The sequence below is a fragment of the Homo sapiens genome, chromosome 1 (assembly GCF_000001405.40).
Source record: "Homo sapiens chromosome 1, GRCh38.p14 Primary Assembly".
In the NCBI taxonomy this organism is placed as follows: domain Eukaryota; kingdom Metazoa; phylum Chordata; class Mammalia; order Primates; family Hominidae; genus Homo; species Homo sapiens.
The window spans coordinates 65557913-65581965 of record NC_000001.11 but is presented as its reverse complement, the minus strand read 5'-3'; the positions used below and the strand labels follow the sequence as shown (position 1 = coordinate 65581965).

At 38.5% G+C, this 24053-nt stretch overlaps 1 protein-coding gene, 1 non-coding gene and 1 pseudogene across 7 annotated transcripts in view, besides 2 other annotated features; 1 reads left to right on the top strand and 2 right to left on the bottom strand.

The window, feature by feature from the left end:
- Nucleotides 1–24053, bottom strand: part of LEPR (leptin receptor) — a 220908-nt gene that overhangs the window by 59594 nt on the left and 137261 nt on the right. For all 6 annotated transcript variants that reach the window (NM_001003679.3, NM_001003680.3, NM_002303.6 and 3 more), the window contains 3 exons: nucleotides 16361–16420; nucleotides 11164–11493; nucleotides 9517–9640 (listed from right to left, as the gene is read on the bottom strand). In NM_001003679.3, coding sequence (NP_001003679.1) covers nucleotides 9517–9640; nucleotides 11164–11493; nucleotides 16361–16400 — 494 coding nt within the window. In that variant the 5' untranslated portion in view covers nucleotides 16401–16420. The remainder of the gene's footprint in view (nucleotides 1–9516; nucleotides 9641–11163; nucleotides 11494–16360; nucleotides 16421–24053) is intronic.
- LOC100422694 (polypeptide N-acetylgalactosaminyltransferase 11 pseudogene) lies at nucleotides 3467–6012 on the top strand (annotated as a pseudogene).
- On the bottom strand, nucleotides 10314–10417 carry LOC124904827 (small nucleolar RNA U13). Its single transcript, XR_007067423.1, has one exon. It is a non-coding gene; the product is annotated as a small nucleolar RNA U13 (small nucleolar RNA).
- Nucleotides 17067–17690: an enhancer, noted in NCBI's record as "NANOG-H3K27ac-H3K4me1 hESC enhancer chr1:66029959-66030582 (GRCh37/hg19 assembly coordinates)". NCBI's record gives its function as "activates a minimal SCP1, AML or CMV promoter by ChIP-STARR-seq in primed H9 embryonic stem cells {active_cell/tissue: H9 hESC(primed)}" and the evidence as "EXISTENCE:reporter gene assay evidence [ECO:0000049][PMID:30033119]".
- Nucleotides 17691–18316: an enhancer, noted in NCBI's record as "NANOG-H3K27ac-H3K4me1 hESC enhancer chr1:66029333-66029958 (GRCh37/hg19 assembly coordinates)". NCBI's record gives its function as "activates a minimal SCP1, AML or CMV promoter by ChIP-STARR-seq in primed H9 embryonic stem cells {active_cell/tissue: H9 hESC(primed)}" and the evidence as "EXISTENCE:reporter gene assay evidence [ECO:0000049][PMID:30033119]".

Here is a 24053-nt window from a genome sequence, read left to right as displayed (position 1 = left end):
GCCAGTGAGGGCACAAAAGGAAGTGAGAGATAATTTATTGGAAACTGGAGAACAGTGGTCCTTCTTGTGTAGTAGCAGAGAGCTCATTAACATTACCATCTGTAGTTATGTGGAAAGTATAGAATGTGCCTATTGAACTGAATGATATATTTAAGGAGATTTCCAGCAAGTGTTGCGGATGTCTCTTGGTTTCTTCTTGCTGTAAGAGGAGAGATATACATTGAAGAAAGGGCCCTTAAACAAAAGGAAAGAGGACTTCATAGTCTTGAAGTGTCTAGCCTCTCCAGATAGCAAACACTGTTAAAATTAAGAAATGCCTTCTGAGCAAAGATCAAAGAGAAGACAGAGAAAAGATCTCTAGGAGATTTGCAGGCTTTTATCATATCTAATGGAGTGAACACCAGAGAGATCCACTGGAGGTCCAGGTAGTTTTGTGAGAGAAGTGTATTAGCAGAAATAGTGCTAATATAGAGACAGAAAGAGACAGAGACAGAACAAAATGGAAAAAAAAAAAAAGCCTTTCAACCATTAAAAATTGTGCTGGTAGGAAAGCAGGCTGTGAAAACAACTTAGATGCGCATATGGGCTGCTTTTCATGAAGAAGAGAGGGTTACTCAGGCCAGAACCTGGCACCCAGAAGGGGGAGCCAAGAACCATGGAGAATTATTCCTGAAGTTGAGTAGTAGAGGGAATAAACTAACATGAAGGGTGCAAGGGGAGATGGTCAAAGAGCAGGATTCTTGACATGGAGATTATAGAAAAAGCATGCTTATTGGTGATGACAAAGTCTCGAGCATGTCCATGACAAGGGGTGAACAAAGTGGTGTGAAAATACAAGAATATTGAAAATAAGCATTCAAGAAACTGAAGATTAATCACATGGATGCTGAAATCATCAAGAATGCTGGCAGGAGTAATTGTGAAAACAAAGTAAAGTAGGTGTTAGTAGTTATAGAAGCCCAAACTCCAAGCATGACCTGGAGGGCCCTTCATAATCTGACCCTTGTGTATCCCTCCATCCTGATTTCTCTTCATTCCCCAGCTTCCCAGTCCCACCACACTCAACTTTTCAAGTCCTGCCATGTGGTATCTGTGCCTCTGGGCCTTTGCAAATGTTCTTCACTCTCTGGCTCATTCTCCTCTGCCCCCTCTTCACCTGGGCTGGATATCCCTAGTACTTGTTTCCACAAGGCACTGTATTTATTACAGCACAGCCTTTCCAAACTTTGCTGTTATGTCTTCTGTTTTTACCACAGAATGTTAGCTCCAGGAGGGCAAGGGCTGAGTCTGTGTTGTAGAACCTTGTTCCCCATGCTCAGCTCCGTGCCTGGAACACACAGTAGGCACCTAATAAAGAAAGAGAATTTCCTTCCTAGATCTAAGAGAAAATCTCAGAGCAGTTTCAAAATATTACATTTCTAGAGTATCTGTCCTTCAGACTCTCTGACAAACATTAATATCTGAGCCCAAACAAAGCTTTCCCTTAAGGGACATATTTATATGGTTTTAAATCCCTTACAAACATTAGATTTTATCCCTTTTAAAATATACTTTTTTACACATGGAAGCATTTGAAAATTTCTCTTGTGAATTCTCTGATGTCCAAAATAGGTGAGTCTGATTCAAAGCTTTTCTATAGTAATCACCATTATGGATTTTCTCTTCCATGGAGTTCTCATTGGTTATATTGACCAGCTCTTCCTATATTGACCAGCTCTACCCATTGAATTAGAGTCCTATTTAATTGTTTGGAGATACATTGCCTTAAGAGCCAAACAAAAATACAATTAAAGGCAGAAACAGCATGTGATAGTTGGTGCAATGAACATATTAACCAAATCATAGAGGTATATAATGTGGCAGGAAAAAAATGGGAGACTGTTTCTCAAATTCCTTGAAATTATGACAGGTTTTACTGTGCTAATATTTTTAGAAACCTAGGTTCCAAGTAAAAGAAGACCAAATTAAAAATCATCTTGTAAGAAAGTTTGAAAATCTACCTAATTTACCTAATTTTCTCATTCTTCTGGGTCCTATTGTTTAGAAGAATAGACCAATGACTGTTTGGCTGACTAAACTGAAGCTAAAATTCTCAGCTATAACTAAGTAACTATTCAAATTTATAATGCTCTGAAATTATATATATCTATATATTACACATATACTTATCTTTTTCAGAAAAATACCTCATCATAATTATAATATATACATAATAGAATTTAAGACCTTACACATATTCACGGGGCTTTAAAACTGAGCATTTTGCCTTAACCTGCTGATAAGATCAGAAATTGTCTAGAGTAGGCACCCAAGTGAGAATTTTTAATCACATCCAAAGCATTTAGGTCATTGCAAGAAGGTACTACTATGCAAAGGAATACTTTTCTCTGAGCTAAAGCCTATTTTGCTCAATAAAGCAGGAAACTGCCCTGAGCTTCAAATATATCTTCATCCACCATAGGGCTTCCTTTCTTCTCTCAATACTCAGAAGTTGAGGTAAACCTTCTTTAAGACCAACCCTGTGCTCTTTTCATGGAATTGGCCTATTCCATTATTCACTCTCAATAAAATATCTTCAATGGCTCCCCTTCGATTATCAACTTTTCTCTCCCTGCTGGGTCACTTTCTATAGACTAGAAACAAACTCATGATTTCATCCTTTAATTATCCACCCTGGGACATTCATTATCCATTAGTCTTCCACCTCCACTTTCCAACCCCAGCCAGGCTTCTCAGGCCTCTAGAGATTTATAACTCAGTCACTTTTGTTAAGGACATTTGTCTACTTGCTGGTTGCCCAATATCTGACTGAAGAATCTACCATCATACAAGGCTGAAACACTGGCAGCTAGAGCACCTTCTCACCAACTAGATAACTACATCTGAGACACTAGCCCTCATGACGATTGCACAAAGATGCAGGGGCTTGTAGGTTCATCAGTCGTGGCATCAGGTGACCTCCATGTGGAAATGATGACCACAGGGACATTCAATGTCCAGATATGATGGCAGTGGCACTATATCTGGGTTCCTCCTCTGGGTGACTTAAAGAATTAGTCCAGTGGTCTAACACTAGTAATAAATATTAACTACAGCCTGGTAATCAATACAGAAAGAAGAGCAGTGGCAGCTGTGCATATTTCCTCCCTTACAGTATGCTTGTGTGTGTGTGTGTTTCTATATATTAACTAATTTCTTCTCAATCTTTTCCTTCCCCCTATTATTTTATATAAGGATTCCTGGAATTATTAAATTTACAATTTTATATTTAGCTTCCACAATATTCATTCAGGTGAAACAGTGATTGAATGTGAGGAGCAATTAATACTGCCCAGAGAGCAATACTGTACATGTTGCACAGAAAACATAATGACAACTGTGACATAGCATCATCCCATTTGGGAGAGAGAATAAGACTGTCTCCTTTTGTTCAAAGTGTAGCCCACCACTCCTCACCCCCTGGGCAGCTCCTGTGGCTCAGACAGGGGCTGTGGCAGGAGGAAAGATGCCACAGCCTGAGTCCTGGAAGGCCACTGCCAGTGCTGCAGAAATTGAAAATGGCCCATTAGTTATGCTAAGTCTATTATGGGAAGTGTCACAGTTCAATATTTCTGTTATGGGTACATTTTTACATCTGTGACCTGTGCAGTTTTGGTTTTTGTTCATTTCAACTTCGGTGAAGTGACTCAGCCACTTAAGAATGTGCTCATCCACTATTCATAATAGCAAAGACTTGGAACCAACCCACATACCCCTCAGTGATGGACTGGATAAGGAAAATGTGGCACATACACATCATGGAATACTATGCAGCCATAAAAAAGGATAAGTTCATGTCCTTTGCAAGGACATGGATAAAGCTGAAAACCATCATTCTCAGCAGACTAACACAGGAACCGAAAAACAAACACTACGTTCTCACTCATAAGTGGGAGTTGAACAATGAGAACACATGGACACAGGGAGGGGAACATCACACACTGGGGCCTGTAGGGGGGTGGGAGGCTAGAGGAGGGATAGCATTAGGAGAAATACCTAATGTAGATGACGGGTTGATGGGTGCAGCAAACCACCATGGCACACGCATACCTATGTAACAAACCTGCACTTTCTGCACGTGTATCCCAGAACTTAAACTATATTAAAAAAAAAAAGAATGTGCTCAAGGGGCCTGGACCCCATGGACCATTTCCAAAACAATTCTATTCCTGATTCACTCAAGGTCCAAGTCTATTACTAGAGCCACAGTTCGAAGCAAACAAAATTGATGATGTGATGGTCATATTGAAGATCCAGAAAAAGGCCACTTGAAATTGTCTTCTGAACTAGGCATGATTTTTAATTAACGTGCTCAGGAGTTGAGAGACGGGCTATCAGAAATGTGCTTTTAATATGCTTATCAGTAACTGCAGGCTACCACAGAGATGTGCCAGGGACAAAGAATACAGCATGTAAAGTCCTACCTCCTGACCTGCCAGTTGCTTACATAATTGTTATCTGTTTCCACAATGAAGCTTTTTCTGCCCTGTCTCCAGATGCTGCACATTGTCACAAATTGCATGCCAGCAAACCTGCTTCATGAAATCATCTTTATGGATGTTGTTAGCGACCTTGATGACTTGAAAGGAGGACGAGATGAATATGTCCAAAAATACCTCCTTGGAAAAATTAAGGTATAAGAAACATAAAGTGTGAGGGATTGATTCAAGGAAGAATGAGTGTAGCAGTCCACACAACAGAAGTCCTTGTGTTCCTAGACAGCCAATTGAAGTGAATGTGATGTGGCAGCAGCCCTTGCTGGCTGTCATCTGTGTGGACTAGCAGACCATGATGTTCTCAGTGATTGATATCATTAGTGCCAACACGCTAGCCTACAGCTCATCCTCTGTTGTCCGTGGAGGATTCAACTGAGGGCTGCACTTCAAATAGGAGCTTGTTCCCCTTTCTGAGCTAGGATGAGCAGAAAAAGCCACAGCACCAACAAAGTCACCGATAATGGCTGGAGGATTGTTTGCCAGGAACAGACAGTATTTCCAGGAACTTGGACAGTATGATACTGGCATGGATATCTGGAGAGGAGAAAACTTGGAAATAACATTTCAGATCTGGGTGTGTGGAGGTAAGTTCTTCATCATGCCTTGCTCTACAGTAGGACACATTTTCCAAAAAAAGGGGACCATATGGATCTCCTGAAGGCCGGGATGCCATGAACACAACTTTTTGCAGCTGGCACATGTCTGGCTGGATGAATAAAGGCGCAGTATTTTTCCTTAAGACTTAATCTGGAGAGGAAAAGCTTTGGAACCATCAGTGAGCATGTTGAATTGAGAAAGAAGTTAGGATGCAAATCATTTGAATGGTATTTGGGTAATATTTACCCAAAGATGCAGATATCTGGGACCCATGACAAATCCCAGCAACCCACTTTTATCAGTAGAGGGCCAAAATGCCCCAAAGTCCTTCAACTTGGAAGGCTCTATCACCTCCAGACCAACAAATGTCTGGTGGCTCAGGGCTGCCCAAGTTGGAAAGGAGGCCTACTAGTGCTTAAGACTTGTGAGCATGGGGACCCAAATCAGATCTGGATTTATAATGAAGAGCATGAATTGGTTTTAAACCATCTTCTTTGTCTAGGTATGACAGAAACTAGCTCATCAGACCCACCACAACTCGTGGAGTGCCATGGGTCAGGCAGACATGGACCTTTGGGGAAAATAATTGGCTACACCAGACGTCAGCTGGACAGTGCCTGAGAGCAGTGGCTCCACAGGGTCAGGAAGACTCTGTGGCTATGGCAATCTGTGATGGCTCCTCCTCACAACAGTGGCAGTTGGAAGCTTAAGGTGGACACCGTGGCAGAAATGGTGCTTCGTCGGGCTTTGCCTCCTCTGTGAAGTGTAGGGCTTTAGAAAGAACGTTGTTGGTGCCAGGAAAGCCTTGGTTTGGTAGAGCCATCTTGGAGAGGATGACATCTCCCGTCTTCCTGGAGATGCCTGGGAATGTTAACAGAGGTAACACAGCAGATCTGATAGAGATGGGAGCACTGAGTGTCCGCAGATGAAGAAGTATGTTTCACCAAGGCACTGAGGTCATTTCTGAGCTTCTATTAAGGAATTTCTTGCTTATAGAAGGAAATCAGAATATAATTTTAACTCTAGAGTTTCATTTGTACACAATGACAAAACTCAGCAAACAGATGTTCCTATTCAAATTTATTTATGCCTCTTTTTAATCCCCTTTAATGATGGAATGGTTTTTATCTTATCAGGAACTTGCCATGATTTTCTTAGAAGACTTCACAGGAGAGAATTATATTTTTTTTTAACTTATCATTTGTTTAGTATGTTCTAAACAGACAATTTTTAAAAAATGAATCTACATTATGTTTAACTTCAGAAGGCATCATTTATAAAACAATATTTGAGGGGCAGTTAACTATTATAAATTATTTTGATGAATTATGATACTACATACACATGAAATAAAGGATCTTTTTGATTTTTTTTTTAAAGTATAGTTGCACTTAATTAAGTGAAAGCATGAAGTTATAAGGAAGTTGTAGGGAAAGGTAGGTATGCGTAGAAAGGTGTGTGTGAATGTTCTAAGTAGCCAATGAGCCAATGAAGTGAATTTTGCTGGTGGTTAAGCTATTGACTGCCATCTTCAAATGCACCCTATGCTCTGTTTCACCATGCTGGGGCTGGAACTCTGCAAACCATAGTTCTCCTCTGCTACCTAAATTCTTGTTAAATTCTACCTGTGGGGGAGCTAGAAAGAGACTAGAATAATGGAGTGACAAGGGAGTTGATCCTTCCTGTTTTGCCTACCATTCTTGAAATATCACTCCAGCCAAAGGTTCCTCACCTGGGCAGCAGCAGTTGGTCCCAGTAACCAGGTTTTTTTCATATTCTCAGCACCAGCCATAGTATGCCTTGGATATATGAATTCCAGCTCTGCAGTGTCCCCCCATCAACTGAATGAGGAACTAGCATAAAGATCAGCTCTTCCGGGTCCTTTCTTCAAGTTTCCCTTTGTTCTGGCAACCTCTCCTTCCGCTCCCCCGAATGAGCTCTGCCTAAAGACCCATTACTTTCACACTGCCAAATCCGTACATATCATTCAGACCTTATTATATCTTCCTGCTATATCTGACCGTTGACTACTCACTACTCACACCTTCAGACAATATTATTTTTTTATTAACTTTTTGGCTCATTAAGACATTTCTGGAGGGTAAATTGGAAAATATTTTAGAAAGCATTTTGGCAATATGTATTCATTCAACAAATAATTTTTAAACATTGTGTAAATATTTCCATTGTGTTAATTTCTAGAGGTAGAACAACTGTTAAACATAGCAAGTGCTTTGTGAGTGCATTTAGTAAGTGGTACAGCCAGGTAGTCTGACTCTAAAATCTGTCATATTAACCTCTACAGCAGGAATTTTCAAACTTGAGTTCCATCAGAATCACCCAAAGGACTTGGCAAAACATATATTAATGAGCTCCACCCCCCCTAATTTTTTATTCACAGGGGTGAGCTAGCAAATTTAAATTTTTTTTATTATTATTATACTTTAAGTTTTAGGGTACATGTGCACAACGTGCAGGTTTGTTACATATGTATACATGTGCCATGTTGGTGTGCTGCAACCATTAACTCGTCATTTAGCATGCAAATTTAAATTTCTAACAAGGTTCCAGGTGATACTGATCTCTTCCCAACACTATACTGCCCACATATTTTCTCATTAGCTCTTATTTATCTCTAATGACTCAACTCAGCTATCTACTTCCTTAGGAAACCTTTCCTCCTCTCTTCTCTCACCAGCTTAACTAGATAACCCCCATCTAAGATCTCACAACAATGATGGGCTCCCATGACATTATGTACCTACCAAATACATATCGGTAACCACTTAAACTGAAACTCTGTACATACAGGTCCCAACTGCTAGCCTTTGAGCACCTAAAGGACAGTGATCGTAACCATTCATCCTTTTTTACATGTCTTTAAGTTTCTTTTTAAATTTTTACTGTAATAAAATGTATATAAAATTTAACATTTCAACCATTTTAAGTGTACAGTGCAATGACATGAAATACATTCACGTTATTATGCAACCATCACCACTCCCCAACTCCAGAACATTTTTCATTTTCCCAAATTGAAACTTTATATCCATTAAACAGTAACTCCCCAATTCCCCCTCCTCTCAGCCCCGCTTTACTTTCTGTCTCTATTCATTTGTATAGGGACAGTTTCTAGCACATTGCTCCTCAACGGTATTATCTCAATAACTGCAGAACTGAAGGAAGCGAGACTTTAAGCATCAAATAGAAGAATTAATGAGAAAGAATTTTAAAGAGTTAAAATTGACATAAAAATGGTGTATATCATCACTAGAGTAATTAGAAAACTTAATGACATATTCGCTGTTTGAGTTATAAGTATATGGCTATTTGAAAACAATATCTTTGTTCTCTTTCTAGCACAAATATTAGCCACCCATATTTTTAAGTTTATAAAGAGATCGAATACGAAAAATCATCTGAAAAAGAAATATAAAACGCACCTTTTTTCCTTTTCCACTCAAATATCTAGCACTCCTGAACTGAGTTCACTCTTCTTTCAGACTACATGCCCACCTATACCTGCAATATCTTTGTAAGGTACATGGATGTGCTTCGGTCAAGAATCAGGCCAAGGCAGATGTCCAGGCCTGCATGACTCAGCGAGTAGTGCGCAGGCATATAACTCCATCTGTTATCACAGCCATGTAGCCATAACATGGGAAGGCCATCCCTTGGCCATATGCCACTGTTGTCTGTAAAAGGTATAATTGCCCTGCTGACACTCTACAGATGTTCTTGTACAGGCGCTCTTGTACCCAGAGAGAGAGTACCAGAGCTGTCAGTCTTGCTCTGACGAGGGGAGCCAGGGCATGGCTCAGCATGGCACAACATGGCACAGCATGGTTCATGTTCATGCCCAGAGAGAGAAAGAGTTAAGCTGCTGACCCTGAAGGCAAGAGAGAGCCAGCCGTGCAGCTGTGCATAGGAGCAGCTGGCCCAAGCAGTCAAAACAGAGCAGACAGTGAGAGAAAGCTGCTGCTAAGAGAGCTGCTAATGAGAGACCTAGTTTGAGTAAGCTGCTGATAGAGAGCTGCTGAATAAAACTACGTTTCACCTGTTTAAGGCCCCCAGAGTGTTCGTTCAGCTATTGCCCATCCACCCACTCCCTTCGGACCTCAGTGTGAGCTAGAACCTGAACTTGAACTGAACATTTGGTATACTCATGGACCTGACAATCGTGACCCTAAACCTGACTGTCTTGCTACCTCAATTAGCAGGAGGAGAAAAGAGGAAACCTAACAGAGCAGAATGCTATATTAAAAAATAAAACATATAATAGGAAATGTAGGGATGCAAGAGGTTTATAATCTACTTCCGTATATGAAAGCTCTTTTAAAAAAACTGTGTATTAGAAATGCCAAATTAATTATTTGGTACTTACAGAACATATAAAAGATGGACCTTATAGTTATAATTCCTGAATAGATTCTTAAATAATGACTCCACATAACAGATGAATAATTTTAAGTCTCCTTTTAGCCAGCACTGTATGTTCCAGTTTGCATCTGAATTTAAAAAAAAAAAAAAAAAAAAAAAAAAACAACTACATGAAATCTCAAAAACCATCTGAACAACTCAGTGAAAGAGAAGAGCTAAATCAAATTTACCAGTGTTCTGATACAACTTCCATTGCCTATTCTGAGAGAAAAAGAACAAGCTTTAACTAGTGGCATGCGTTTGCCCATCACTTAGTCCCTCTGGCCCTCAGTTTCCTTTTTTCTAAAGTAATAGAATTAAATTCAATTATTGCTTCTCAAATTTTCTTTAATTTCAAACCACTTAAATAGGACAAAAGAGCTCAAAACTCACCTAGCTCAGTTCTCACTTTTCTTTTTCTTTCCTTTTTTTTTTTTTTTTTTGAGATGGGGTGTCACTCTGTCACCCAGGCTGGAGTGCAGTGGCATGATCATGTGATCATGGCTCACTGCAGCCTCCATCTCTCAAGCAATCTTCCCACCTCAGTCTCCTAAGTAGATGGGACTAGAGGCATGCACCACCATGCCCAGTTAATTTTTTTTTTTTTTTTTTTTTTTTTTTTTGGTAGAGATGGGGTTTCATTATGTTGCCCAGGCTGGTCTCTAACTCCTGAGCTCAAGTGATCCGCCCGCCTAGGCCTCCTAAATGCTAGGATTGCAGGCAGTTAAGCCACTGTGCCCAGCCTTTTTTTTTTTTTTTTAACATTAGACAGGTAATGTGCCAACATCATAACAAGGTCTGAGGGAGGCACATCTCACTCATACATGTGAAAACCCAATCATCACGCTTTTAAGGGAGGAAAAGATATGCCTGTATTTTCATACTGGAGGTCTCTCTACATGGATGAGTCAATTGACTCCACTCTTCCTAGCTTTTCCAAAAGACTTGGGATAATTTTGTTGTTTATATTTCCAGATGCAGAATTTTTAACTACACTAGCTACAATCAGTATGCATTATACTTAAACAAAAAAAAAGAATTTTTTTCTTTTCTTTTTTTGTTTTTCCAACTTTTATTTTTAGTTCAGGGGTACATGTGCAGGATGTGCAGGTTAGTTAAATAGGTAAACATGTACCATAGCAGTTTGTTACACAGATCATCACATCACCTAGGTGTTAAGCCCAGCATCCATTAGCTATTCTTTCTGAAAAACCCATCTTTAAAACGTATATTCTTTCAGAGATATTCCTTGCCTGAAGAATTATTATTATTCATGAATATTTTAAAATTTAACCAATTCAACAATATTATCAGTCATTTGATATTTTATACATTTAACAAAAATAAGGTGTGTTTTTCTATTTCAAAGCAAATTTAGAAGACTACAAGGAATGTACTTAAAAGTAAAATAATTCCCTCATTATATTTTTATGGGATACAAGATAATTTGGAAATTATTTATTAGTTTGTTCACATAATGAATCCTAATTTTATTATCCATATAAAAATGATTATGTATGTTAAAATCATAGCCATAAGACATCTATTTCATACAGGTATCAAAGAATTAAAAAACATTGTTCAATACATTTAAAACATAGCTAATGCTTACCTATTTGTTGAAAAACTAAAGAATTTACTGTTGAAACAAATGTCTTTCCTTCAATGTTGTCTGCACATAAGGAGCAGTTTCTATCTTGCTCACTCCGAAAGCAACAGTGGAAAGTTGTTTTGGATAAGTTAGAAAAGTGAGTACCACTTGAATTAAACTTAGGTTCAACAGCTGTCTCATAATGTCCATTCGAATTTGAAGTATTCTTTGAGAGTCCAGCAGGCAAAAGGAAGTAGTCATAGGTTGAATTTGGTGGCATGCAAGACAACTTAAATCTCCAAGGAGTAATTGGATATGACAAGTTAAACGCAGTTATCACATAAATAAATTCTGTTAGGATATTAAAAAGACACATAGAAAAAAGTAATCATTTTGACTAAGACATGAATAGAAAGTATCTGAGATTAAACCATGTAGTGCTCAATAATTATTTAACTTTCTAAGTCCTCAGTGAGTGTCTAATGAATAACTTTGTGCTTCCATTGTACAATGTGTTACATTCAAGAGGATGCATTCATTTGTAGAAATTACTCCACTTTCTGACATCTCTTTTCTTTTTGAAGACTCACACTTCATGTTTTCTCTTTAAGCTGACATTTTATATTTATGTTTTAATAAAAGGAAACAAACACTGAATATTTTATTTTTCCTTTCTAAAGCATATTATTCTAGCTTCCATTATAAATGATAAATATAATATCCAGTATAAATGATAAATAAATATCTGGATGTGCAATTATATAAACAAACATTAAAGTGCTATTTTAATATGTATTTAAGAGAGTAACACCAAAATATTAACACTGCTTTCGCTGAGCACTTTTAGAAAGAATTTGTCTTCAACATGATGATGGCTTGATGATCTCCTGAATTTTCCCATGATCCTCCAAATACAAAACATCATCATATAAGACATGCCCTTAGCACATTACACAAAAAATGATGCAAAAGAATAGACTTCTTATGGGAAATGCCCACTGCTGATTAAATTATCACTGTTTAAATATAAAAATTAAGAACAATTATATAATCCTGTACCAAAAGATCTGCAAAAGTTAAACCTTGTCTTTTTTTTTTTTTTTTTTTTTTTTTTTTAAGATGGAATTTCGCTCTTGTTGCTCAGGCTGGAGTGCAGTGGCATGATCTCGACTCACTGCAACCTCTGCTTCCCGGGTTCAAGCAATTCTCCTGCCTCAGCCTCCTGAGTAGCTGGGATTACAGGCACCTCCCACCACACCCGGTTAATTTTTGTACTTTTAGTAGAGACGGGGTTTTGCCATGTTGGCCAGGCTGGTCTCGAACTCCTGACCTCAGGTGATCCGCCCACCTTGGTCTCCCAAAGTGCTGGGATTACAGGCATGAGCCACTGCACCCAGCCAAACTTATTTTTAAATATTTGTTTGAAAATAAAATAATTCTCCATAATTGTTTTTTCAGTAAGTTACCCAAATGATGCAACAATTGTGTTGGCTTATATAGACACTAATGCAGAATACGAATTCTGAGAATCTTGTATGGATTTGTATGAAATGAGAATTTTGAAGAGTTTGGCAAATGTAATAATGTAAGGAAATAGAAGTAAACATGATGTTCATCAGTAGGTGAATGGGTAAATTGTGGTACATCCAGACAATTAAATATTATTCAGGGCTAAAAAGAAATGAGACATCAAGTCACGAAAAGATACAGAGGTTCCAGCACTCTTCCAGAACTATGCATCCAACAAAGGACTAATATCCAGAATTTAGAAGGAACTCAAACAACTCAACAAGAAAAAAACAAATAATCCCATTAAAAAGAAGGCAAAAGAAATGAAGACATTTCTCAAAAGAAGACATACAAGCAGCCAATGAACATGAAAAAAATGCCCAATATCACTAATCATTAGAAAAATGCAAATTAAAACTACAATGAGATACCATCTTATACCAGTAAGAATGGCCATTATTAAAAAGTCAAAAAATAATAGATGTTGGTGAGGATGCAGAGAAAAGGAAATGCTTATTCACTGTTGGTGGCAATGTAAATTTGTACAACCTCTATGGAAAACAATGTGTAGATTTCTCAAAGAACTAAAAGTAGAACTATCATTCAATCCAGCAATCCCACTACTAAGTATCTACTCAAAGGAAAAGAAATCATTGTAACAAAAAGACACCTGCGGTCATATGTTTGTCACAGCACTATTCACAATAGCAAAGTCATGGAATCAACCTAAGTGTCCCTCAATGAATGACTGCATTAAAAAAAGTGGCATATTCACACACATGCACATGCACACACACACACACACACACACACTCACACACCATGGAATACTATGCAGCCATAAAAAAGAATAAAAGCATGTACTTTGCAACAACGTGGATGGAGCTAAAGGCCATTATTCTAAGTGAAATAACTCAGAAACAGAAAATCCAATACCACATGTTCTCACTTATAAGTAGTATTGTACACAAAGTTCACTATTCAGGTGATGTACATACTACGCAACATATCCATGTAACAAAACCATACTTGTAACCTCTGAATCTAAAAAAATAAAAATTTAAAGAGGAAAAAAAAGACATGGAGGAAACATAAATGCATATTACTAAGGGAAAGAAACCAGTATGAAAAGACTATATACTATGTTATTCCAACTATATGACATTATGACATTCTATAAAACGCACAACTATGGAAACAGTAAAAAGATCGGCAGTTCCCAGGAGTTAGGTAAGAAGGAGGGAGGAATAGGAAGGCCACAAAGGATGGGTAGGGCAGTGAAATTCTTCTGTATGTTTCTAAAGCTGCAGATAAAGGTCACTATACATACATCAGTCAACATTCATACAATATACAACACCAAGAGTGAACCATAATGTAAACTATGGACTTTGAGTGACAATGATATGTCAGTATGGGTTCATCAATTGTGACAAATGTACCACTCTGAGGGGGGATAGTTGATAATGGGGGGTTATAAATGTGTGGGGCAGGGAGTCTACGGAAAATCTCTGTACCTTCCTCTCAATTTTGCTGTGAACCTAAAACTGCTCTAAAAAATAAAGGCTTTTTAAAAATGTAAGAAAATAAAATTTTTAATCAATTCACAAATGTATTTTTTCATTACAAAAGCAATTATCAGTGAAAATATTCAAACAATACATAGGTAATGACTGTTAATAGTTTGGTTTCTAAAGATTTCTATAGATATAAATTAATATAAATAGGTATAGATGCAAAAATTGAGGCCAAAGTGATTAATGTGACAAATGTGACTATGGCCATACTGATAACAATTAGGTATCACAACATTACCAAAAGTAAATCCATATTACAATTATGTTCCTTTGGACTTCACTCCTTCTAACATGTTTCTAAAATCAGAACACCTCAAAGAAAACAGAATAGTTTTTTGAGGGAGGAGGTTTACAAAACCAAGAATATGTAATATTACTAATTTACAGCATTATATATTCTAGGTCTACATAGAGGATTCAGTTGCTTGAAATGAATTAGCCTAAAATCCTCACAGAAGTATTTAAATGTAAAATGTAATGATGAACTTTAAAAACATAGCAACTATTGATGCAGTTAAATTAAAAGATGAGTCTATTTTATCCACATGCAACTTTGCAAATGATATTTCTTTCCCTCCAAATGAATCCTAAACTCTAAAGATGGTCTAGAATTTTCATCTGAAGGCATATCTTATCAGGTAACAATATCCCAGGAATTCTTTTGATTCAAAAACTTGATCAAACCAGAAACCTTCCAGAAAGTCAATGTAAAACACTAGAGTCTAACGAAAATTAATAGAGAATTATAAAAGAGAATGAACAGTTCCCTTAAATATATCTAATAAAATTAGAGAATATAAAAAGAGAATGAGTTATTTCTCTTTGATAGTCCCTTGTGGCATAATTTTTTGGAAATCTGTAATGGTGGAGCTATCTAGGTTATTTTCTGGAAATATACAGATGGCTGCAATGAAAGAGAAGTATGTACCACAAGGAAGACCTATAGGGAAGCTTAGAAGAGCCCCTTTAGATTGGGGTAGCCAAGGAGATGCTCAGAATCAGTTGACACACAGGTAACAGCTGCCAGATAAAGTTGCCACAACATAAGTTTTGTTAAAGAAAGCTAGATAAACAATTGCCAAATCACATAAGTTTTGTTAAAGATACTCTAACTTTAATTTCAAAAACTTGGAACACAATCTAACTTAGATGATTTGGTTTAAGGAAATCAGAATGTCACCAGAATGTGGTAAGAAACACGTGAGAACAGTATGCTCAAAAGTTATTGGCAATGTATCGGCTGGGCACGGTGGCTCACGCCTGTAATCCCAGCACTTTGGGAGGCCGAGGCGGGCAGATCACGAGGTCAAGAGATTGAGACCATCTGGCCAACGCAGTGAAACCCCGTCTCTACTAAAAATACAAAAATTATCTGGGCATGGTGGCGCGTGCCTGTAGTCCCAGCTACTCGAGAGGCTGAGGCAGGAGAATTGCTTGAATCCAGGAGGCAGAGGTTGCAGTGGGCTGAGATCATGCCACTGCACTCCAGTCTGGCGGCAGAGCAAGACTGCGTCTCAAAAAAAAAAAAAAAAAAAAGAATTAATCTACAGAAATATTTTTCCAAATATACAAAGACACATGAAGTTTCAATGCAGTATTATTTGTTACAGAAAAAGAAATGTCTATCAATCAGGAATTGGTCAAATAGACTAATAATTTTATATATATTCATACAGTGCATTGTCATGCAACCATTAAACTAATAAGTATCCCGGTAAATACTGATAAAGGTAAAAAGCCATCATGATAAATTGGAAACCTGTTAAATGGAAAAATAAACATCCAGAACAACATGTACAGACCAGTGCTATTTTTGCAGCTATAGATATGAGTGTGTCTGTGTATGTGTGTGTGTGAGTCTGTGTGTGTGAGTCTGTGTGTGTGTGTGTGTGAGAGAGAGAGAGGATTCTGGAAGGATACACCATCAGGTTGTCTTTAGGAGGTTGGGAAGGGTTTTCGTTTTCACACTGATACACCTATACTATGGTTTGCATTTTTAATCATAAGCATGTATGAGAATTCCTAACTAGAAATAGGAAATTCTGTTAGCTAATAAATAAAACAGCATCTCTAAAGGCAAAATCTCTACCATGTTTAAGGGCATTAAAACAGCAAATGAGCAAATAACTTACCCCAATGTAACAAAACCACACAGAATTTTTGACAAATCATCTTACTTCAGAGAAGTACACCTGGAAAAGGTAAATCTAAAATCAGAACACACACAAAAACAAAAACACATATATATAAGTTGTCTGTGGAAAACATAAAAGGAAAGGGATTATAGATAAGTCTCTAAATTTACATGTGATACTCTAGATCAATATCTGAGAAATATCTCACGTAAAATTAGGCTACAGATTTATTCCTGTACGCATCCTATCTTACATCATTAAAAATACAAGTCGAAAAAATTTAAACTGAATGTTCCTTTATGCCATAACAAACCAGGACAGGTATCACGGGATAAGACTGAAATTTTAACTAAATGCAAGTGCTCACAATGTTGATAAAATATGTAACAGCTAATTTAACATCATTAATATCACCGTCTTCAATTTCTTTCATGCTCAGGTCTTAAAATTTCCCTGTTTTCTAAAGTCTTTATCTTTACTATGATATTGTAAGGCCAAATAATTATTGCATAGGTAACAACTGCCTATTTATTTCCAATAAAGAGGAGAAATTTTACCAGTAGACCTTTGGAAACCTATTGTTTATTTGCAGATGAGGTAATATTGGAGAGTTAGAATAATTAAAAGTCTGGTGGCTTAATATACCCACATGAAGTCCGACTTCAGAGACAAGATTTCCTATGAGTTCTACTCAAGTTGGAGTATCACAAATATGATTATTTGTACTACTATGTCATAAATCCAAATAGTAGTATAATTTTAATATATGTGGCTTGGACTTTGGATGAAAACCTACCTGAATTAGGCATCAGGAGTGTTGGGTGCCAGGCTAAGCTCTTCCGGTAATCAGCTGTGGGACTTGGGTTTTCAACACTCTAGACCTCAGGTTCCTCATCTACAAATCAGACTGTTAGATGGTCTCTACAACCCCTTTCAGAGCTGCCTATTATTCTGAGAGATGTAATTTAAAATGGAAACCACACTTTACCACAAAGAATAGTGTAAAACATTAAGAAACGGATTCACGGAGGAGCCAAGATGGCCGAATAGGAACAGCTCCGGTCTACAGCTCCCAGCATGAGCAACGCAGAAGACGGGTGATTTCTGCATTTCCATCTGAGGTACCGGGTTCATCTCACTAGGGAGTGCCAGACAGTGGGCGCAGGCCAGTGGGTGCACGCACCGTGTGCGAGCCGAAGCAGGGCGAGGCATTGCCTCACCTGGGAAGCGCAAGGGGTCAGGGAGTTCCCTTTCCGAGTCAAAGAAAGGGGTGACGGACGCACCTGGAAAATCGGGTCACTCCCACCCGAATACTGCGCTTTTCTGACTGACTTAAAAAACGGCGCACCACGAGATTATATCCCACACCTGGCTCGGAGGGTCCTACGCCCACGGAATCTCGCTGATTGCTAGCACAGCAGTCTGAGATCAAACTGCAAGGCGGCAGCGAGGCTGGGGGAGGGGCGCCCACCATTGCCCAGGCTTGATCAGGTAAACAAAGCAGCGGGAAGCTCCAACTGGGTGGAGCCCACCACAGCTCAAGGAGGCCTGCCTGCCTCTGTAGGCTCCACCTCTGGGGGCAGGGCACAGACAAACAAAAAGACAGCAGTAACCTCTGCAGACTTAAATGTCCCTGTCTGACAGCTTTGAAGAGAGCAGTGGCTCTCCCAGCACGCAGCTGGAGATCTGAGAACCGGCAGACTGCCTCCTCAAGTGGGTTCCTGACCCCTGACCCCCGAGCAGCCTAACTGGGAGGCACCCCCCAGCAGGAGCACCCTGACACCTCACACGGCAGGGTATTCCAACAGACCTGCAGCTGAGGGTCCTGTCTGTTAGAAGGAAAACTAACAAACAGAAAGGACATCCACACCGAAAACCCATCTGTACATCACCATCATCAAAGACCAAAAGTAGATAAAACCACAAAGATGGGGAAAAAACAGAACAGAAAAACTGGAAACTCTAAAACGCAGAGCGTCTCTCCTCCTCCAAAGGAACGCAGTTCCTCACCAGCAACGGAACAAAGCTGGATGGAGAATGACTTTGACGAGCTGAGAGAAGAAGGCTTCAGACGATCAAATTACTCTGAGCTACGGGAGGACATTCAAACCAAAGGCAAAGAAGTTGAAAACTTTGAAAAAAATTTAGAAGAATGTATAACTAGAATAACCAATACAGAGAAGTGCTTAAAGGAGCTGATGGAGCTGAAAACCAAGGCTCGAGAACTACGTGAAGAATGCAGAAGCCTCAGGAGCCGATGCGATCAACTGGAAGAAAGGGTATCAGCGATGGAAGATGAAATGAATGAAATGAAGCGAGAAGGGAAGTTTAGAGAAAAACGAATAAAAAGAAATGAGCAAAGCCTCCAAGAAATATGGGACTATGTGAAAAGACCAAATCTACGTCTGATTGGTGTACCTGAAAGTGATGGGGAGAATGGAACCAAGTTGGAAAAAACTCTGCAGGATATTATCCAGGAGAACTTCCCCAATCTAGCAAGGCAGGCCAACGTTCAGATTCAGGAAATACAGAGAACGCCACAAAGATACTCCTCGAGAAGAGCAACTCCAAGACACATAATTGTCAGATTCACCAAAGTTGAAATGAAGGAAAAAATGTTAAAGGCAGCCAGAGAGAAAGGTCGGGTTACCCTCAAAGGGAAGCCCATCAGACTAACAGCGGATCTCTCATCAGAAACCCTACAAGCCAGAAGAGAGTGGGGGCCAATATTCAACATTCTTAAAGAAAAGAATTTTCAACCCAGAATTTCATATCCAGCCAAACTAAGCTTCATAGGTGAAGGAGAAATAAAATCCTTTACAGACAAGCAAATGCTGAGAGATTTTGTCACCACCAGGCCTGCCCTAAAAGAGCTCCTGAAGGAAGCACTAAACATGGAAAGGAACAACCGGTACCAGCCGCTGCAAAATCATGCCAAAATGTAAAGACCATCGAGACTAGGAAGAAACTGCATCAACTAACGAGCAAAATCACCAGCTAACATCATAATGACAGGATCAAATGCACACATAACAATATTAACTTTAAATGTAAATGGACTAAATGCTCCAATGAAAAGACACAGACTGGCAAATTGGATAAAGAGTCAAGACCCATCAGTGTGCTGTATTCAGGAAACCCATCTCATGTGCAGAGACACACATAGGCTCAAAATAAAAGGATGGAGGAAGATCTACCAAGCAAATGGAAAACAAAAAAAGGCAGGGGTTGCAATCCTAGTCTCTGATAAAACAGACTTTAAACCAACAAAGATCAAAAGAGACAAAGAAGGCCATTACATAATGGTAAAGGGATCAATTCAACAAGAAGAGCTAACTATCCTAAATATATATGCACCCAATACAGGAGCACCCAGATTCATAAAGCAAGTCCTGAGTGACCTACAAAGAGACTTAGACTCCCACGCATTAATAATGGGAGACTTTAACACCCCACTGTCAACATTAGACAGATCAACGAGATAGAAAGTCAACAAGGATACCCAGGAATTGAACTCAGCTCTGCACCAAGCGGACCTAATAGACATCTACAGAACTCTCCAACCCAAATCAACAGAATATACATTTTTTTCAGCACCACACCACACCTATTCCAAAATTGACCACATAGTTGGAAGTAAAGCTCTCCTCAGCAAATGTAAAAGAACAGAAATTATAACAAACTATCTCTCAGACCACAGTGCAATCAAACTAGAACTCAGGATTAAGAATCTCACTCAAAGCCGCTCAACTACATGGAAACTGAACAACCTGCTCCTGAATGACTACTGGGTACATAACGAAATGAAGGCAGAAATAAAGATGTTCTTTGAAACCAACGAGAACAAAGACACAACATACCAGAATCTCTGGGACGCATTCAAAGCAGTGTGTAGAGGGAAATTTATAGCACTAAATGCCCACAAGAGAAAGCAGGAAAGATCCAAAATTGACACCCTAACATCACAATTAAAAGAACTAGAAAAGCAAGAGCAAACACATTCAAAAGCTAGCAGAAGGCAAGAAATATGTAAAATCAGAGCAGAACTGAAGGAAATAGAGACACAAAAAACCCTTCAAAAAATCAATGAATCCAGGAGCTGGTTTTTTGAAAGGATCAACAAAATTGATAGACCACTAGCAAGACTAATAAAGAAAAAAAGAGAGAAGAATCAAATAGACACAATAAAAAATGATAAAGGGGATATCACCACCGATCCCACAGAAATACAAACTACCATCAGAGAATACTACAAACACCTCTACGCAAATAAACTAGAAAATCTAGAAGAAATGGATAAATTCCTCAACACATACACTCTCCCAAGACTAAACCAGGAAGAAGTTGAATCTCTGAATAGACCAGTAACAGGAGCTGAAATTGTGGCAATAATCGATAGTTTACCAACCAAAAAGAGTCCAGGACCAGATGGATTCACAGCTGAATTCTACCAGAGGTACAAGGAGGAACTGGTACCATTCCTTCTGAAACTATTCCAATCAATAGAAAAAGAGGGAATCCTCCCTAACTCATTTTATGAGGCCAGCATCATTCTGATACCAAAGCTGGGCAGAGACACAACCAAAAAAGAGAATTTTAGACCAATATCCTTGATGAACATTGATGCAAAAATCCTCAATAAAATACTGGCAAACCGAATCCAGCAGCACATCAAAAAGCTTATCCACCATGATCAAGTGGGCTTCATCCCTGTGATGCAAGGCTGGTTCAATATACACAAATCAATAAATGTAATCCAGCATATAAACAGAGCCAAAGACAAAAACCACATGATTATCTCAATAGATGCAGAAAAAGCCTTTGACAAAATTCAACAACCCTTCATGCTAAAAACTCTCAAGAAATTAGGTATTGATGGGACGTATTTCAAAATAATAAGAGCTATCTATGACAAACCCACAGCCAATATCATACTGAATGGGCAAAAACTGGAAGCATTCCCTTTGAAAACTGGCACAAGACAGGGATGCCCTCTCTCACCACTCCTATTCAACATAGTGTTGGAAGTTCTGGCCAGGGCAATTAGGCAAGAGAAGGAAATAAAGGGTATCCAATTAGGAAAAGAGGAAGTCAAATTGTCCCTGTTTGCAGATGACATGATTCTATATCTAGAAAACCCCATTGTCTCAGCCCAAAATCTCCTTAAGCTGATAAGCAACTTCAGCAAAGTCTCAGGATACAAAATCAATGTACAAAAATCACAAGCATTCTTATACACCAACAACAGACAAACAGAGAGCCAAATCATGAGTGAACTCCCATTCACAATTGCTTCAAAGAGAATAAAATACCTAGGAATCCAACTTACAAGGGATGTGAAGGACCTCTTCAAGGAGAACTACAAACCACTGCTCAAGGAAATAAAAGAGGATACAAACAAATGGAAGAACATTCCATGCTCATGGGTAGGAAGAATCAATATCGTGAAAATGGCCATACTGCCCAAGGTCATTTACAGATTCAATGCCATCCCCATCAAGCTACCAATGACTTTCTTCACAGAATTGGAAAAAACTACTTTCAAGTTCATATGGAACCAAAAAAGAGCCCGCATCACCAAGTCAATCCTAAGCCAAAAGAACAAAGCTGGAGGCATTACACTACCTGACTTCAAACTGTACTACAAGGCTACAGTAACCAAAACAGCATGGTACTGGTACCAAAACAGAGATATAGATCAATGGAACAGAACAGAGCCCTCAGAAATAATGCCGCATACCTACAACTATCTGATCTTTGACAAACCTGAGAAAAACAAGCAATGGGGAAAGGATTCCCTATTTAATAAATGGTGCTGGGAAAACTGGCTAGCCATATGTAGGAAGCTGAAACTGGATCCCTTCCTTACACCTTACACAAAAATCAATTCAAGATGGATTAAAGATTTAAACGTTAGACCTAAAACCATAAAAACCCTAGAAGAAAACCTAGGCATGACCATTCAGGACATAGGCATGGGCAAGGACTTCATGTCCAAAACACCAAAAGCAATGGCAACAAAAGCCAAAATTGACAAATGGGATCTAATTAAACTAAAGAGCTTCTGCACAGCAAAAGAAACTACCATCAGAGTGAACAGGCAACCTACAAAATGGGAGAAAATTTTCACAACCTACTCATCTGACAAAGGGCTAATATCCAGAATCTACAATGAACTCCAACAAATTTACAAGAAAAAAACAAACAACCCCATCAAAAAGTGGGCGAAGGACATGAACAGACACTTCTCAAAAGAAGACATTTATGCAGCCAAAAAACACATGAAAAAATGCTCATCATCACTGGCCATCAGAGAAATGCAAATCAAAACCATAATGAGATACCATCTCACACCAGTTAGAATGGCAATCATTAAAAAGTCAGGAAACAACAGGTGCTGGAGAGGATGTGGAGAAATAGGAACACTTTTACACTGTTGGTGGGACTCTAAACTAGTTCAACCATTGTGGAAGTCAGTGTGGCGATTCCTCAGGGATCTAGAACTAGAAATACCATTTGACCCAGCCATCCCATTACTGGGTATATACCCAAATGACTATAAATCATGCTGCTATAAAGACACATGCACACGTATGTTTATTGCGGCATTATTCACAATAGCAAAGACTTGGAACCAACCCAAATGTCCAACAATGATAGACTGGATTAAGAAAATGTGGCACATATACACCATGGAATACTATGCAGCCATAAAAAATGATGAGTTCATGTCCTTTGTAGGGACATGGATGAAATTGGAAATCATCATTCTCAGTAAACTATCGCAAGAACAAAAAACCAAACACTGCATATTCTCACTCATAGGTGGGAACTGAACAATGAGATCACATGGACACAGGAAGGGGAATATCACACTCTGGGGACTGTTGTGGGGTGGGGGGAGGGGGGAGGGATAGCATTGGGAGATATACCTAATGCTAGATGACAAGTTAGTGGGTGCAGCGCACCAGCATGGCACATGTATACATATGTAACTAACCTGCACAATGTGCACATGTACCCTAAAACTTAAAGTATAAAAAAAAAAAAAAACAAAAAAAAAACAAAAAAAAAAACTTCTGATTCAAAAAAAAAAAAAAACATTAAGAAACATGTCTCATGACTCATATCTGAGAATTGGCACCATATGATAAGTGAGAATTGGCACCACATGATAAGTAAATGGAAAAAAGTGTTTGTTTATTTTACAACTTACTATCAGGAAGAAAATAAATGAGTATAAACAGTGGGTAGTCCAGTAAATTTGTTTTTCACACTACAAGTTTGTCATCAGAATTTTTGTTCTTTATACACTGATATCACAATGGTTCTTTAGGATTTCTAGAAATCAGTACACTGTTTGGAACCCTCATGATTTAATTATATTAAATGAGTACAAATTCCTCCCTGCTTTTTATGCTACCTGTTCTTGATATAAGATGTTCTCATAAAATAAACTCAAGGGCAAGTTTTATAGTCAAGATGTGTCACAGATACAACATATCACTGGATTGCTTTGATGAAACTTACTAGTGACTATAGTAATTCAGTTCAACAAATGATTTGGCTTGTTTTTAACTCACCTGGTCTCCTCAGTTAAGTGATCAAATAGATCAGCAGTTTTCCTTACATAAAACAACCACTTCTTTATTTAATGTTCCATGCAAAACACAAACTATTCTGATGGTTT